The sequence below is a fragment of the Homo sapiens genome, chromosome 16, assembly GCF_000001405.40.
Source record: "Homo sapiens chromosome 16, GRCh38.p14 Primary Assembly".
Taxonomy (NCBI): Eukaryota; Metazoa; Chordata; class Mammalia; order Primates; family Hominidae; genus Homo; species Homo sapiens.
In genome coordinates, this window is record NC_000016.10 from 14,086,804 (window position 1) to 14,105,900 (window position 19,097).

Below are 19,097 nucleotides of genomic sequence, written 5' to 3' on the forward strand. Positions count from 1 at the left end.
AGGCTTTATTATTTATTTATCCTCTTAGCTGCATTTGTAATAATTTTTACATTGTACTTAAACAGAAAGTTTTAAGAATTTTTCAGCATCTTTAATGACTTGGATTTTGTGCATCTGCAACAGTTTCTTCCTATTTTAGGCACAAAGCTTAAAGTTTAGACTGGCAGGGGAAGTAGTCGTTTGATTGGAAAGTTGGGCAGAGGAGAAAAATTTTGTCTTCATATACAGAATTTGTAGCAGTAGAATATTCAGATGGAATTGTATTAAACTCTAACCCTAGGAAAAAAAAATTGAAGTACTTGTATGCAGTACAGAGAATAGATCCCTAGCAAAGCCAACACTCGGGGCTTACTTCTGTAGTATCTGCAGCTGAATTGGTCTCTCCCAAGAGTATTCTCATCTCAAAGTCTTAAGAGTAGAGTTTGGAAAGGGGAGGAGAGAACAGTAGCTTTGGGCCATAAGTTCCATGATGAGCTCAATAGTCAGTGAAACTCTCTAGGTTAAGGATATGTACTGAACCTCTGAATGTCCTATCCCCCTTGAGAAATTTCCTTCCTTCCTAACTCTGGGCACTTTGTTTAGTGTTGCGGCATGCTGGAAATTTATCTTGAGTTGAGGAGAGGGAGTCTGACTGTATTGCTGCAGAGTCTAGGCTACTCTCTTTAAATAGATGTCCAATGTGGGAATATGGCTGAAAACCATCAGTTCCTCCCTTATCATAGTTAGGCAGTGGCAAATATTAGAATTTCATGCAAGCTTTTCCTTCTTCAGTTTGCTCAGAGAGGACGCCTAGTTCAAGGTGAAGATTAAGTGTTTGTGTATGTTAAACTCAGTAAGTTTTATTTTAAATATACTTCAGTCTGCTCTAATGTAACAAAGTTCTTCAGTCTGATTGTTCTAGCAGCTATCACTCAAACATTAATTGCTGTCAGTGTGAAAGGATATCCTCCTACATCTTTTCTGGAGTACTTGAAACCATCCCACTTCCTTTTTCTTTTACCTTAAGAACTGATTACTGACACTTGGGAATTACAATCAGATTGCATCAATCTTTATGGAAAGGTTGCCAATTATTGCACTGCAAAATATGCATTTCCCTCTAATAGTAAGTGTTTCTCTTGGTGTGTCTCTCAGTTCAGTGCTTTTAAATACCTCTTAGGTGAATGAATGCTTTGTGCCATGCCCTGATTTAATATATTTAAAAGACTTAATTCATGGCTTTGTTACCTTCAGGTCTTTGGGAGGTGGAAATGGATGGAGGGGAATAATTTATGTAATACGAAATCTTTGTAGGATCTTTTGATTGATTAGATGTCCTTGGATAGAAGAAGGATGGCCGGTGACTGTTACTTATACTGTGATATAAACTCTCAAATGAGTGTGTTCTTTGAAGAGTTGAGAGCAGTGCGGAATTTTATGGTGGGAATGTACATTGAGCCTTGTGCAATGTCTTTTGTGTGCATTACCTCATTTTGTTTTCACAACAGTTCTGTGAGGATAGATGTAATTACCCCAGTTTTAAAGAGCAGAAGGGCTCAATGAGATTGTGAAATCAGGACTTGGGCATGCAGCTAGTAGGTTAAAAACAAAACAAAACTGTGACTTGAATACGGATCTCTCTGGCTCCAAAATCCATGCTTTCTTCCCTCGGACAGGGAAAGGTGGTGTTAGAATGCTCGAAAGTTCTTAGAATGTTGACATTGTAGACCATGGAAATGCTGAACAGAATGAAGATAACGCTACTTTATGAGCACCCCCAGCATTATTTTCACCATCCTCTATTTCTAATGCTCTTCATCATCAACTCATGAAGCCAAGGAGCCTGCCAGGGTGTCTGGCTCATCATGTTCAATACAGCAGAGACTTGTTTAATTTAGCAGCACTCTGAGATGAAAGGTTCATGACTGCCAAGTACAAACAGACCTTCTGCGGGATGTTAATTTGGTTATAGAAGAGAATGCTTGTTTTTCCTTGCTCTGTGCTAATAAAGAAGCTGGCACATTTTTTCGTGAGGAAAAAGGACTTTGACTTATTAAATCTGTGTAATCAAAGAGAAGCAGTTCTGATAACCATTTTTCTTTGTGCAGTCTTTGGTTAATTCCATTCTGTACCTGCCAGCAAATTGCAAATTGCGTGCTTTTTTGTTCTTTCCTCTTTTTTATTTTGGATTTGGTTTTATGGTTGGTCACTGTAGGGATTTATTGGTAGGAAAATAAATTATTTCCTCATTTGAACAGATTGTGTGTTTTTACAACAGGTTATCTTGTAGCAAGCAGAGTGATTCAACCAGGCCTCTGCACGGAGGTGTTGCTATATGACTTTGACCATTTTAAATAATAACAGCTTTATTGAGATATAATTCATATACCATAAAGTTTACCCTTTTAAAGTGTAGAACTCAATGATTTTTAGTATTCTCACAGAGTTGTACACCCATCACTTCTGACTAATTCCAGGACACTTTCATCACCCCAAAAAGAAATCTCATACCCACTCTCCATTCTCCCCTCTGTCTCTCTCACCTCTAGAAGCCACTCATCTACTTTCTATCTCTTTGGATTTACCTGTTCTGGACATGCCATGTAAATGGAATCATAAAAATATGTGACCTTTTGTGTCTGGCTTTTTTCTATGTTGCAGCATGTATCAGAACTTCATTCCTTTTTATTGCTGAGTAGTATTCTGTTGTGTGGATAATACTACATTTTGCTTATTTCTTCATCAGTTGATGGACATTGTGGTGGTTTCCACTTTTTGGTTATTATGAATCATACTGCTGTGAACATTTGCATATAAATTTTCTAGTGGACACAGGTTTTCATTTCTTTTGGGTATACACCTAGGAGTGGAATTGCTGGGTTATATGGTAACTCTGTATTTAACTTTTTGAGGAAATGCCCAACTGTTTTCCAAAGTGCTTTTGTGTGAAGGTGCACCTTTTTTGTTCTCAGCAACATTTGAGGGTTCCAATTTCTCCAAGTCCTTGGCAACACTTTTCCATGATTGTGTTTTTCGTAGTAGCCATCCTAATGAATGTGAAGTGGTGTCTCATGATTTTGATTTGCATTTCCCTAATCACTAATGATATTGAACATCTTTTCATGTGCTTCTTGGCCACTTGTATATCTTAGAGAAATACCTACTCAAATTATTTGCCCATTTTTAAAATGGACTGTCTTTTTATTGAGTGGTGATAGTTCTTTATATATTTTGTATACACACACACCCCCAAACACCCCCACCCTTATCAGATATATGAATTGTAAGATTTTCTCTCCCATTTTGTGATTGTCTTTTCACTTTCTTCATGTTGTTCTCTGAAGCAAGTGGTGTTTTAATTTTGATGAAGTCCAGTTTTCCAATTTGTTTTGGTTGCTTGTGCCATTCTCTCTCTGTTGGAAATTTTCTTTATTTCTAGACATCTCCCATTTAAAAAATTTGTACAAAATTAGTTTATTAACTATACAATGAGTAAGAGGTATTAAACATCTTTTGTGTTTTCAGGTATTCTCAGCTCATTCAATGTGAGAAAACCAAATCTCCTAACCTTACACCCAATGTGCTTTTTTGTTTTTTAAATCAGAAAGATGTCTTTCATTGTTCTGCGTCGCTTAAAATGCACGCATCATCCCATGAGCATTTATGTGTCTAATACATACTGAGCACTTTGCAGGGCTTGGGGATCCAGAGGTGAGTGGGATGTGGCCCTATCTTTAAGGAACAGGAGCTCACATGCCATGCTAGAAGCTTCCACAGAGGACTGTGGTGGTGCCAGGAGGGGGAAGGGAGCAGTCTCCTCTTTCGGGTGAGAATACTTTATAGAAGAGTTGGTGCTGGTGCTCAGTCTGCAAAGATGGGTGGGTGATCAGAACTTTTTGTTATAGTCTGTGAGTCTCTCTTCTGGTTACTTCCTGCCATGTATGCCAAGTACACTAGCACCAGATATCTCACAACAGCCTATCTAGGATTATTGATATAATAAAATGTAGATAGAGGTGTGACGACTCTGATGCCTAAAAGTGAGCCCAAAGAAAACCACTTTAATTTTTTCAGGTTTTCAAAATCAGTTCAGCATGGTGTGTGTGTGTGTGTGTGTGTGTGTGTGTGTGTGTGTGTGTAGTTCTGTATAGTCACAGCATAAAATAGGAGGCAAGGAGTGACAGTTGCTTGGCTGGAGAGGAAGACTGATTATAGACAGTTGGGTGTGTCCCATTAAGGAATTTAGATTTTGCCCTTAGTGATGGGGAGTCACTGAAGAGTCCAGCAGCGGGGAGGTGATTGGATCACTCTAGTTACTATACCATGGATGCTGGATGCAAGGGGCAGGTCTAGAGACAGGCAACCCATTAGGCTGTTACACGAGTCCAGGTGACAGTTGATGAGGACCTGAACTAGGGCACTGGTGGTAGAGTTGTAGAAGACAGAGGCTGGAAATGTTTAGGAGGTACTAGTCAGGACTCTTGGCTGCAAGTTAACAGAAACCTCACTCAAACTATCTTAAGTTAAAAGGGGAGCTAATTGGAAGATTCCTAGAGAAGGTTGCAAAAGGAATGAAATGCTGCAGAAACCAGCACAATTTCAGGGACCTCAGGGATTAGAAGTGGTACATCATCACAGGGCAGGAGCCATCTTCACAGTCACCAACCAAGAGGAAGGAAACAGCTTTTCCCTCCCAGCTTTGGTTTTAAAATCCCAGGGGCACTCTTGGCCTTGGGAGTTTGTGCTCCCCGGCCAGGCACTGGGGTCTTTGTTGGAAGCTCTCTATCACCATCACACTGAGAGTTCCTGGAAGAAGTGGAGAAGGGTTGTTCTGGCAGAGCCATCTGTGCACGTCCACTCTAGGCATATGGGTTGGACCCAGAGATCGAAACGATCTGAGAATAAGGGAAAGGTCAAGAATGCCTCCCAAAGCCGGGCGTGGTGGCTCACACCTGTAATCCCAGCACTTTGGGAGGCCGAGGCGGGCAGATCACTTGAGGTCAGGAGTTTGAGACCAGCCTAACCAACATGGTAAAACCCCGTCTCTACTAAAAATACAAAAATTAGCCAGGCATGGTGGCAGCTGCCTGTAATCCCAGCTACTCAGGGGGCTGAGGCAGAAGAATTGCTTGAACCCGGGAGGCGGAGGTTGCAGTGAGCCGAGATCATGCCACTGCCCTCCAGCCTGGGCAACAGAGCGAGACTTCATCTCAAAAAAAAAAAAAAAAAAAAAAAAAAAGAATGCCTCCCAAGTTAGTGGCTTTGGTAACCTATGATGGCACCACTTCTGTCCAATAAAAAGGTTCAGGGATATGCAAGCCAAGTACAATGAGCAAAGTTTAGATCAGCTTAGTACCACACTACTCAGAAATTGTGTCTGTGTTACATAGTTTTGTGATTATTTGGTTGACTTGGCTTCCTTCACTATTAGAAACCCTGAGAGGACAGGGACTATTTTTTTTTGCTGCGATTCTCCAGATCCCAGCATACTGTACTTGGCGCATAGTGGGTGTACAGTATATATCTATGTACGAATGAATGAATGCAGGTGACCATGTGCAGTAGGTAGTTAGATTGTTTGATTGGATCTCAGGTAAGGGTGGGAAACAGATTTAGGAGTTATCTGTGTAGGGCTAGATGGTTGACAACTCTTGAAAGTTATTGGGGAAGGGACCTTTATAAAACTTCAGATGTTGTCTAGACCTGTGATTTTTATGTCCAGGTAATGAAATTGTGCCTTTTCTTTCCTTTTTTGTCCTGTTTAGTTTTTAATGCCAGTAATTATCTGCTGACAGTCCTGCCAATGATTTTTTTAAAATTTTGTTACAGATTATGATTAGACTTGTGATAGATAGGAAAATAAAGGTGATAAAGACAGATTCTATTTCCTTTTTAAGAATAACTGACTCATGGGATGAAACTTTGGATATGATTTCAGATCACTCCTGTAAACTCTCACAAGAGATGTTTATAAAACACTTGGAACAATACAGATTGTACTAAGAAAATGTGCTTTGATCAACTGTGGAGATACAAAGCAGGAAACTTAATAAATCAAGTCCTATTTGTGAATGGAAAGGACTGGAAGTTCACCTTAAAAGTAAGAATTCAGCTTACATCCAGACTTAAATTTTGTAGTCTAAATAGCAGATGTTAACTTAGTTTCATCTTTTATATAAAAATAAAATGAATTATAGACTTCATATCTTGGCATCTTGAAATCTGACTCCTGATTCCTCTCTCTTAATGACTATTGGAACACTAGGCTAGACATGGAATTTGACTTTGGTTTTTTTACCCTTTAATTTTTGAAGTCAGTGTGCTTCCAACTCTGTCTTCCCTCTGTAGTCAGGAAAACCAAACCATTGGTAGCTTGGATATGCTATAATTTTTATTATGTAAATATTAGAAAAGCACAGTTGTATTTATATAAAGAGTGATATTCATACTTGAGAGATGGATTTTTTTTTTTTTTACAAATTAAAGCATAAATACAATTGTATTACTTTTATAGGCCAAGCACTCTTGTCCTGCCACCCTTCCATATGACAAGATATTATAGTAAACTGCATATATTTTGTGTTTTTGCATATTGCCTAGATTCCTTTTTTTAAATTTGCAGTACAGATGTGAGCCATTTTTATTTATTTACTTAATTTTTCACTAAAGAACTTTCATTAAATTTGGCTCTGAATGCAGGTCAGTATCTTAGCAAGTTGTAATTTAGTAGAGCATTTCTAAGAACTCAAATCGAGTTACAGCATCTCAGCTCTTTAAATTAATCTAGGGTATATAGATACTATGATCATTTAAAAAAACAGATTTTCATTTGAATTGCAGATTAATGCTTGTTCTTTCAGATAAAGTTTGAACAAATATCTAATAGACTAAAACTTTGTATATTTTGAATTTTACCAAAGTGACTCAAAGACTGGGAAAGTATATTTTAGATTTTAATGATGAGGTCAAAATCCTGGGTTTGAGTTCTGCATAGTTAAGTAATTACATGGAAAATTTCTGTGCCAGGATCCCAGACCCCTGCAAATTGTATCACTTCTAAAATCAGTTACAGAGCTGAAGTTTTTAAAATGTTAATTTCTGGAGGCACCCCTTATCAGCTCCTGGAAAAAAGAATTAAAAATGTATCTAACATAATATAGCTTTTTCTATTTTCTGAAATGATTCTATTTTTTAAGAAGTAGTCAGCTTTGTTCTTTGCTAATTAAGTCTTCAAAGGTAGTGTCATTCAAAGTGGAGAAAAAAGTTACAGTGTAGATGTCAGGGAGAGAGGAAGCAGCTCTTTTAGATGATGGTAAACATGTGGCACCGATGAAAGAAGCCTGAATCCCTTACAGAGTTTGTCTCTGGGCTTGTCCGGCTCACTCCTGTTGCACCATGTAAGATGACAAGATTGCTTTCAGGTATACAGTATTTCCACTCATTTAATTTCCAGTTTTTTTAATGACTGATAAATATAACTCAAAAAGGAGCATTAAATAATAGGGCATTAAATAATCTCTATCTAGATTTAGTTGAATTAAGGGAAGAATTTGTCTGAGTGTAGAAAGTATAAAACAGTTAAAATGCATTTGTTTAAATGTGGGTAGAATTTAGGCTGAAGTGTTGCCTAGCAGATACAATGAATTTGATAATTGATTATAAGTTTTACATATATATGTAAGCAGATGAGATATTTCTAATGTGCTTCATCTGTAGTTTCTATAGTTTTAAGTAGCTGACAAATCTTGTTTATGCTCCCTATTGAATAATCTTTCTTAATGGACAGAGAAAGCAGAAGCTATTCACCTAGTTCTTCTTCCTGTTAATAAAATCTAAGTTTCACCCTGCATCTCAAAGTTAGCAAAATGGCGTACAGAAATTCTAAGAGAGTGGGAATTATGTGGTTTGTAAATTTCTTTAATTAGTGTGTTTTCCGTGAAACTGCAGTATATAATACAGGTAGAATAGGGGTTTTGGTCAGGGAATAGTGGAAAGCAGGGCTGGCGCTCCGCTGCACTCCAGGAGCATCATTCTAAAAGCCAGTGTTCCATGCTGTCATTAATGAATGTGGAGTCTTTTTTGGAGAAACAAAGGATAAATTACCCATCTATCTATCCTTTTTGTTACAGCTTTATGCTAATTATTTGCTTGTATGATAAACACTGACATTTCCTATCAGAATTATTTTAAATATATAAAGCCACTTTAAACATCACCAGGAATAATAATAGCACTGCTGGTTAGGGCACCCCGTAGGTCTAAAATAGTCTTCTTATCTTACCAAAGAGAACTTGCCTGACTTTGTAAGATTATGATAGCAAAGGCTACCTGAAAGGCAGTGCATGGAAGGTAAATTGTTGGGTATACCCAGTCCTGCCACAGTGTTGTTTCTCTCCCATGTTAAGACATACAGTCAGATTACAGTGACTTAGAGAATAATAACCACACTGAGAATAATTAAACATCAAGTGCTTATGGTGAAATGAGTCCACATTATCAGGCAAGTGTGGTTCCACTTGGGGCCTGACTTGGGAGACTCCCTTGTAGAGGATTCAAGATGCCCTCTGTGCTATTAATAATGGGAAATGGCTCTGTGACCTTGGGCAAGTTACTTAAGCTTGTTAACACTCTACCTGCCTGTAAAATGCTCCATTATAGAGTTGTTCTGAGGATGAATGAAGATGCTACATATAAAGTACACATTATAAATTGCCTATAGATGTTAAGCCATGGAACAATATCTTCCTTCAAAAGAAAGGGCAATAATTGGCAGTGCAGGTGTCATGAGAACCACACCTTTGTTCTGAACTTGAGTGAAACTCAAACTACATCAGGCATCATTTCACCATTTTAAAAGTAAATACTGGAAATGAAATGGACAAATTTCATCATTTTAACTATCAGCTGTTGAATGTCTCTGCTTTTGGATACTTTTCTTACCATTTTACCCAAAACAGAACCATCTTCACTTTTCAAAATCTGAAAAACAAAAAAGAGAAGGTAAAATGACTGAATACTGTGGTTTGTTTTTTGATCTTTTGTTTTCATGATTATTGCTTCTCTATCAGAATAAGAATATTTACAAACTGTACTGAATGCACTATTTACAACAGTGCTTACAAGTAGTGTCTAATGTAGATATAAATTGGGTATGATATGTTCAGAACATGTGACAGGGAATCATGTCAGGCAAAATTTACTAAAAGTTTATTGGTTAGTACAGTTGTTCTTTTGAGAACAAGAACATGACAGTTTAGAGGCAAGCTGAAATTTATTTATTTATTTATTTATTTATTTATTTATTTATTTATTTGAGACAAGTCTCGCTCTGTCTTCCAGGCTGCAGTGCAGTGGCGCGATCTTGGCCCACTGCAACCTCCGCCTCCTGGGTTCAAGTAATTCTGCCTCAGCCTTCCGGGTAGCTGGGATTACAGGCATGTCCACCACGCCCAGCTAATTTTTGTATTTCTAGTAGAGACAGGGTTTTACCATGTTGGCCAAGCTGGTCTCAAACTCCTGACCTCAAGTGATCTGCCTGCTTCGGCCTCCCAAAGTGTTGGATTACAGGTGTGACTCACTGTGCCTGGCCGGCAACCTGAGATTTAGAAAAGGAATAACTATTTCTAAGGAATTCTGAAGCACGTGTCACCAGCAGTTAGCTCTAACAAGAGATTTTTATTGATTATATGTCCAGTGTAGGAGTTCATTGGATTCTTTTAGAGAAAAAGTCTAAAAAAGAAGTACTATTGCAGGGGAGAAAAGATAATAAAAGGTTTTCAAATGGATGCCCTCGAGTAGCTGTAAAATAGCCTACATATTGTGGCAAGAGATGTGGACCTTTGGGTTTTATTTGTGATAAGTTCATAAGCTTACATCTTCTGTAAAATGTCACTTTCATACTTGGTCTATAGAATTCTCTAAAATCGACAGTAAAGAATATGCTATGGTACAGAATGTTGTCTTTGATACCAACCTTTAGATAATTTACTTAAAACTTCCTAGTATGTTTTTTAAAAAATCATTTTGGGTCCCTGTTCCTAAGCTTTTTACATTCTTTGGTGTTTGCAAGCCAGAAGGACCTCTTGGAGCTGTCAAGCTCCATTCTTCTTGCTGTACATAGAAGTAGTTTTCTTTATATTTGTCCTGAATTCACTTAGGTTTCAAGACATACCTCTCATTCTAGAATTCTAAGCACTTGGACTACAGTTCTTTAGTCATCATTAGCATTTATTATCTTAACTTTGTATTAGAAGAATCATTGTTTTAGTCTACCTGTAGCCTATTTCCACTGATTTTCTTTAGTTGTGTTATTTAAATGCAATGATTATGACCTTATAAATTATTCTAAGAGGAGATGCAGAGTGGCCTTGCAGTTCAGTACTGACCATTCTGCATGAAATCCAGCACTTACAACAATGCCAGACATAGAGTATATGTGCAATAAACGTTTGAGTTAATGAATCCCTTTAGGGCAGATTGTGGTTGTAATATTTTCAGTATTAAGTGACCAAGCATTCAGTTCTGGTAGTTTAGCTAAACATTCAGGTTTCATTTGAAGCTAATAAACAGACCACTGTGCAATCCAGGAAGACCGGTTTGTTCACTTTCCCATCCAGTAGTAATTAACTTTTGTAGTTGTGTTTATATAGAGTAAAGGTCAAAGGAAAAGGTGTATTTGAAGCAGTTACAGCAATTGGTTTGCAATAGTGAAAGATTTTCAGTATGCTAATTAAAAAGGGACAATTCAAATGGGATATTATAAAATGTAAACTGTTCTTTTTGTAAACAGCTTTATTGAGGTATAATTGGCATCCAGTAAACTGCACATTTAAAGTGTACAATTTAATCAGTTCTGACACGTACACCCATGAAACTTTCACCCCAATAAGGATGATGAACATATCCATCACCCCCCAAAATTTCTTTGTATGGCTTTGTAATCCTTCCTGCATGCTCCTTTGCCCCTGTTTCCAGGCAACCACTGATCTGCTTTCTGTCTCTGTAGATTAGTTTGCTTGTTCGAGGGTTTTGTATAAGTGGAATCATGTTGTATGTACTCTTCTTTGTTTGACTTCTTTCAGTCAGCCTAATTATTTTGAGATTTGTCCATGTTGTTGAGTACATCAATAGTTCATTTCTTCTTAGACATAGTTGGTTGTGTAGATATGCCACAATTTGTATATCTGTTCACTGTTTTTGTTGTTGTTGTTGATGTGTTTACTGTTGATGGCCATTTGGGTATTTCCAGTTTTGGGCTATTACAAATAAAATCAATCTGAACATTTATATGCAAGTCTTCGTATGGACTCTGTTATCTCTTGAGTAAATACCTAGGAGTAGGATGGATGGGTGTCTGTTTAACTTTTTTTTCAGAACTGCCAAACTGTTTCCAAGTTGTCATTTCCTTTTATATTCCCAACTGCAGTACATGAGAATTCCAGTTGCTCTGTGTCTGGAATTTGGTATGGTCAGTCTTTTCACATTATTCATTCTAATAGATGTGTAGAAGTAGCTCATCGTGGTTTTAATTTGCATTTTCCTAATGACTAATGGAGTTGAGCATATTTTCATGTACTTATTTGCCAATAGTTGGTAAAGTATCAAATCTTTTATATGTTTATTGGGTTGTTTGTTTTCTTATTATTACTGAGTTTTGAGAGTTCTTTGTATACTCTGGATATAGATTATCAGATTTATGATTTGCAATATTTTATCTCAGCCTATGACTTATCTTTTCACCCTCTTAACATTCTTTCAAAGAGCAGTTCTTAATTTTGATAAAGTTCAATTTATCAATTTTTTATTTTATGCATTGTGTTTTTGGTGTTAGAACTAGGAGCTCCACCTAACCTGAGGTCAGAGAAGGTATCTCCTTTGTTTTCTTGTAGAATTTTGATAGTTTTGGGTTTACACTTTGGTATATGACCCATTTTGACTTAAATTTTGCAATATGGCCCATTTAGATTTAGTTGTTGCATGTGGTGAAAGATGTAGATCAAAGTTCATATTTCTTGCATATGGCTATTTAGTTGTTCGAGCACCATTTGTTGAAATGACTATTCTCACTTCACTGAGTTGCCTTTGCATCTTTATAAAAAAATCAGTTGTTCATAAATGTGGGCCTATTTTGGCCTCTGTTTTGTTTCATTAATCTATTTGTCTTCACACCAGTACCACACTGTCTTAATTATTGTAGCTTTATAATGAGTCTTGAAATCTAGTAGTGTTAGTCCTCCAACTTTTTAATTTTTTACAAAGTTGTTTGAGCTATTCTGGGTCCTTTGCATATCCATTTGGAGTTTAGAATCAGCTTTTCAAGTTATACAAAACAGCCTGCTGGGATTTTTGACTGAGATATTGATAGTCAGTTTGGAGAGAATTGACTTCTTAACAACATTAAGTCTGGGTCTTCCAAACCAAGAACATGTTATTTCTCTCAATTTATTTATATTTTTTAAAATTTCTCTAGGCAGTGTTTTTAAAGTAGAGATCTTACACATCTTTTGTCAGATTTATTCTAAATATTTTGTATTTTTTGGTGTTATTAAAATAGTATTTTTTAAATTTTCAATATAAAATTACGTGGGTTTTTTTGGTGGGTTTTTTTTTTTTTTTAAGACAGAGGGTCTGTCACCCAGGCTGGAGTGCAGTGGTGTAATCTCAGCTCACTGCAACCTCCGCCTCCTTGGCTCAAGTGGTCCTCCTAAGAAGCTGGAACCACAGGTGCATACCACCATGTCCGGCTAATTTTTTTGTATTTTTTGTAGAGACAGGGTTTCACCCTGTTGGCCTGACTGGTCAAGTGATCTATCTACCTCGGCCTTCCAAAATGCTAGGATTACAAGTGTGAGTCACCATGCCCAGCCGTATTCTGCATCTTTTCTTTTCTTTTTTTTTTTTTTTGAGACAGAGTCTCACTGTGTCGTCCAGGCTGGAGTGCAGTGGCACGATCTCGGCTCACTGCAGCCTCCGCCTCCTTGGTTCCAGCAATTCTCCTGCCTCAGCCTCCCAGGTAGCTGGGATTACAGGCACACACCACCACGCCCAGCTAATTTTTGTATTTTTAGTAGAGATGGGATTTCACTGTGTTGGCCAGGCTGGTCTCGAACTCCTGACCTCAGGTGAACCCACCTCGGACTCCCAAAGTGCTAGGATTACAGGTGTGAGCTGCTGTGCCCAGCCATTCTGCATCTTTTCTATACTCACTACTAGCTTTTTTTGTAGAGTTTATTGGATTTTCATAATCATGTTATTTTTAAACGAAGACAGTTTTACTTCTTCCTTTCTAATCTGAGTGCCTGTTACTTATTTTTCTTGCCTTATTGAACGAGCAGAACCTCTAGCAGAGCCTGTGTAATGTTGAATAGAAATGTAAAAGTGGACATGCTTGTCTTGTTCCTCATATTAAAGGGAAAACACTAAGTCTTATTATTAAGTGTGATGTTAGCTATAGGTTTATTGTGGACTCCTTTATCAGGTTGAGGATGTTCTCTTCTATTCCTAGTTTGCTGAGAGTTTTTAATCAGGAATGGATGTTGGATTTTGTTAGATATTTTTGAGCATCTATTGAGATAATCATATGGTTGTTATTTTTTAATTCGTTAATAGGGTGAATTGTATTGTGTATCGCATGGTAAACCAGCCTTACATTCCTAGGATAAACCCCATTTGGTCATGTACCTTTTCTTATGTGTTGAATTTAATTTGTTAAAATTTTGTTTAGAATTTTTATATCTCTGCTCATGAGGGACATAAGAGCCTCTTCTAGTGTCTTTGGTTTTGGTATCAAGTTAATGCTGGCCTAATAGAACAAGATGGGGAGGATTTTCTCCTGTTCAATTTTATGAAAGAATTTAGATAGAATTGGTATTACATTTTTCCTTAAACATCTGCTAGAATTCACCAGTGAAGCTATTTGGATCTAATGTTTTCTTTGAGAGATTTTAAACTACAAATTCAATTTTTAAAATAGATCTGTGGTTATTCAGGTTATTTATTTCTTCTTGAGTGAGTTTAGTAGTATCTTTCAAGGAATTTGTCCATTTCATCTAAGTTGTTGAATTTATTGGCTTAAAGTTTTTCATAATATTCCCCTATTAGCATAGAATCTATGATGACGTTGCCTCTCTCACTCCTGATATTGGTAATCTGTGTCTTCTCTCTTTTTTCCTGATCAGTCCAACTGGAGGTTTATCAATTTTATTTACCTTCTCAAAGAACCAGCTTTTGGTTTATTGATTTTTCTCGATTTTTTTGTTTTCTGTTTCATTGATTTTTCTGCTCTTTTCTTCACTGCTTTCTCTTTTCTGCTTACTCTCTCTGTGGGTACACATAATTATGTAGGGTTTTTTTTTTTTTTTGCTAAGTTTTTCTGATTTTAAGGGTAAAGTGTAGTTCATTTCAGATGCTGATTTGAGCTGTTTCCTCTCTAAGACATATAAGATATTGAGGCTCAGAGAAGTTAAGACACAAAGTTAAGATATATAGCCTATGTCCTTTTTCTTATAGTGTAATAACTATGGTAGAAGCAAGTAGAGGTGCAGAGGGAATACACAGAATAGTGCTTAGCTTGTGAGGAGTGGCATGAGGAGAGCCCCTTGGAGAAGTTGGTGTCTCAGGTATCGTATTTTGGTGAATTCTATGGATAAATCTATCAGACCAAACCCAAATTATTAGTTCTTAAAGTTTATTTTACATTGACTACACATCTCCTTCTTGGTTGCTGTATTGTGAAAAATGAGTTAGAATATGCCAGGAGTAATTTTGCACACAGCTGATGTTCCTTTGGGTTTGATTGACAAATCTACTTTCAATTTCTATTAACACTGTTTGTGGTGGTCATGGTAACTGTAGCTGTAATAGTTTTGGCAAGTGTTGCTGACAAGATTCTGTTGAAGAGGAGGAAAACTTGGGGGTAGAGTGAGGTGAGATTATTATAAAGATCTACATCAGTATCCCACTGAAAACTTAGGGTCACTTAGTAACAGGTATTTCTCCAATAAACTATTCCTTGTTTAAGACAAGTTCTGAGTTTTTTTAAAAAAGGATTTTCATCATTAAAAAGGCATAGAATTCTATGATTTTTTAAATAAGTGGAGTGAAACCAGCCTAATGTAATAACATCTTCTCAGTGTCCCTATTAGAAAGTTTGAGTTCCTCTCCAATTTAAATCAAGGTACTATATTTAGGTATTTTGAAAAATACATAACAGCTGTTTGCTGAGAGGCACTAATGGGACTGGTGGTCAATTGTAGGGAAGAAACAAAAGGAGAAAAATAGAGGAGTTATTTTCAAATGGCCATGAGGGCAGAGGGTTTGTGTGTATTATTTTAGTTTCTCTTTAAAGAAAAATAAAGTGCAACCTGAGTCTTTTTAAAAAAAAAAAAAGAAATTGTGGTTGAAAGAGCAAGCTGCTCCTTTGATAGTTTGATTTTCAAAGTTAAAACTTAATTTTGTAGAGGAGAAAACAGCAAGTGGGCTAAGCAGCTAGTTTTGTGACAGTGCAAGAACCAGAATCCAGACTCTTGAGTCAGGAAACTGGGTTCTAATCCTGACTCTTAATCACGGGCTTAACGTCGCCTCTTCATTGGTAAAGTGGAGATGATAATGATACCTTTCTTCCAGTTGGGGGTGAAATGACAAAATGTGTTGAGTTATCACTCGTACATGTTTAATATTTTGGGTAGGGAACCATTTTCCCCCCTCTCAAGGACTCAAGAAAATAATTAAGGGTCATATACAGATAAGAAGATATTTACTTTAGAGTTTTTGTGTTTTCTAGAGTAAATTCAACTCACCCACCACATCTACGTTTAGACTTACAGATATTATTTATTCTAATTAAACAAATGCAACTGAATTTCCATGTGTTTATACTTGCTTTAAAAACTGTTAGCTCTTCAGTGTTAAAGATTGGCTCTTTAGTTTCATTTGTTCTCAAACTTTCTGTGTCCAGCAAACAATGCAGTATGTTAAAACATGGTATTATTTCTCTTGTTACATGCCTTGGAGTTTAATAATATTCACATAGTATGTGTGTCTGCCTTTTTCCCTTTCATGGTAGGTACTTTAGAATGTGCAGTTTTCTCTATCTGGGGGCATGCTGTTGCATTAGCTTTAAGGTGAAAGGAGAAGGTGAAGTAGAGCATGTTGAGTGATACAAAGTCTTGGAGTAGAGAGACCATTTGTATATCAGCTCCCTTTGCCAGGAGTGCCCTCTCTTTCTTCCACATCTGCCTCTACTTTACAATCTTATTCTTTGAGACTCAGCTCCAGCACTTACTTCCTCTGGGATCCCTTTGCTGATCCTTGGCCAGTTGTGTTAAAACCCCTCCCTCTGCACACCTCCTTGCTTTCACAGCACTTTGCTCTCATCTAATATTCTTTACCACACTATGTTGTGATGTCTGTTTTCTTGTCTGGCTTCCTTACTTACCTTAAAGTCAGGGAATAGATCTTACTCATCTCCATATCCCAGCACCCAGCAAAACTCCTGATCAAAGGTGCTCAGGGAAATTTTATTGAATAGGAAGCCTTGAGTTCAGCGAATAAAGTTCAGAGAGTGATGAGAATATACAATTTATCCTAACAAGGGTATTTCTTCTTCCATATTTGGAGGGGGGATATGGGGGAGGGTGTTTGTTTGTTTTTTCACTAAGGAAATGTCTGAGCTGTAAGAATGAGTTCAGGGATTTCCTTAGTGCCCTTGACAGCCCTTGTGCCTTTACTCAGTGCTGATTAGATTCAGGGACTTTATGGGACCCTGGAATACACCCATGGATTCCTGTTTCCATTGCTGAAATCAGGAGAAATGGAATCCTGCTGCAGTGTACTACACACTGCAGTTATACACATTGGCCAGTTTGCTACAAATATAGTCTGCTTCTAATGCCTTCGTCAAAGTCAGTCCAGCCAAGGATTGGCATAAATTAGCCCAGTTTGCTACAAATATAGTCTGCTTCTAATGCCTTCGTCCAAGTCAGTCCAGCCAAGGATTGGCATAAATTAGGTGTTGAAATAGAAATTATTGAAATTGAAAGAGTAGCAGTTTTAAAGAGGCAACTGGCCTCTGTTTCTCTATCTTTACTGTAGAGAAATATTAAGAATTTAAGCTCTCTGCAGTCAGATGAATTTGTAACTTCCCTGTGGGAGAAACTCTGCCTGGTTTCTGGCTGCTGAGACATAGAAACCATGATTTAGTATTGGCTGGGATTGAGGAAAAAAATAATGAAATGACATGATAAAGTGACATTTGTACTGAAGTATAATCTCCCTACTTCATAGATGACAGTTTCTTTTCAGAGGGTGCTCTTAACCAGAGTGAAAAAACTTATAAAAATTACAAATGAATTTTGACATGTTATAGAGTGGAGGGTGTGTTTAGGTATGAGGCCAGGCCCTGAACTGAAATTTAGCCAGAAAGACTGAACACTGTGTATTTATTCAGATAGGAAGGACCCCTAAAGGTGTGACTGTCTGGGCTGAGCATAGAATGAGCACTTTCTCTTTCATTACCTTTTCACCATTTCTAAGGGTTTCTGATAGAGACATCAGGGAGCAACATGACATGGTCTCATTTACTCCTGAAATTCATGTTCTCCACAGCAGCAGAAGCACTGGTGAGCAAGTAGACTTTACAAGGAAGCTTATCCAGTAGACTGATGCCTGTACATTTTACACTCAGGCAGGATGACATGGTGCAGTTCTGTGAGTCTCTTCCTGTAGCAGAGCCTTAGCTTTCAGATGTATCAATAAATCTCAGTACTATTTGAAGGCTTCATTATTCAAAGTGTTGGGGTTTCGCTTTATAAACAAAAAGTACCCCATTTGTCATAAGGAATCCAAACAAAAAAATGAGAATTGTTTTCGTTTATATGCAGTTATTTCCAGCAGTAAGTTGTGAGAAAGGTTTTTAAAACATAAGCATGAGAACCTCAGTAAATTTTATATGAAATCTTTTCCTTTAGGATTTACTTAATGCAGGGATGTAGGCACCGCAGTCCATTTTCACGGAATAGCTATTCCATTCATTGGATAGCCCTCCCAATTCGGATGTTTGATTGATCATATCTACATTTTGTTGGCCTGCCATGTTGAAGACATTGTAGCTGAGTAGTTAGAGGACACATGGCACTGAAGCGTATTGACATTTCTGCTTCGTTATCCTTGTTAGAACTTAGGGCTGTCAGGATGCCATCAGTGCCCCTTTCTTGGTCTGATAATTAGGAGTGGAGGGAGTGGATGAAAGTACGAGGCCATCTGTTTAAAAAAAAGTAAGTGAACTGATGCCCAGAACTAATGGAAAATTTAGTGTTATAGAAGTCAGTAAACTCTCAGAAAGTGAGCATTCTAATTAAGAATGAAAAATGGAACCCATTATTTCTTTCCTTTGAGTGAAAATAACTGAGCTGATAGAGGCCTTGGGAAGTTCTCATACTACCCCTTGTACCTCATTGCTGTCTTTTAAATTAGACCAGAGAAGTTTCTCCTTTGTCTCTTTCCTAAATTGTTGATGACATCTTTTATAAAAGGTCATCAGAAAGGAATGATGTTTACTTTAAAAAAAGAAAAGTTGCACTTTGTATAGCTATGCCCTGATTAGATGTATCCTTCTCTTATGATTTTTTTTTTTTTGAGACAGGGTCTCGCTCTGTTGCCCAGGCATCAGTGCGGTGGCATAACCATGGCTCACTGCAGCCTTAAACTCCTGTGCTCAAGTAATCCTCCTGCCTCAGCCTCCCGAGTAGCTGGAACTATAGGCACGTGCTACCGTACCCAGCTAATTTTTAAAATTTTTTGTAAAGATAGGGTCTCACTGTGTTGCCCAGGCTGGTCTCAAACTCCTGGCCTTAAGTGATCCTCTCACCTCAGCCTCCCAAAGTGCTGGGATTACAGGTGTGAGCCACAGCACCTGGACTCTTAAGGGTATTTTAGATTTGTGAATTAATAAGATGCTGTCCTTTTGTCAATGAAAACTCTAGTACTTATGAAAAAATAAGCTTTACTGTCATTATTAAAGTTAAGGTGTTCTTAAAGACGTAAAGTTAAAATGCTGTCATTCTGTCTCTTCACACTAAGAACAAAAAGCAAGTGATTGTGAAGTATTTCAGTGGGTTGAA

General features: G+C 37.4%; 1 protein-coding gene across 29 annotated transcripts in view; it reads left to right on the plus strand.

Annotated features, from left to right (window-relative positions):
- Positions 1 to 19,097, plus strand: part of MRTFB (myocardin related transcription factor B) — a 272,006-nt gene that overhangs the window by 92,030 nt on the left and 160,879 nt on the right. For 11 of the 29 annotated variants that reach the window (XM_047434393.1, XM_047434392.1, XM_047434391.1 and 8 more), the window contains one exon: positions 5,918 to 6,079. The exons of the other annotated variants lie outside the window; for them this stretch is intronic. The gene's annotated coding sequence lies outside the window, so the exon portion shown is untranslated. The remainder of the gene's footprint in view (positions 1 to 5,917; positions 6,080 to 19,097) is intronic. 29 annotated transcript variants of the gene reach the window in all.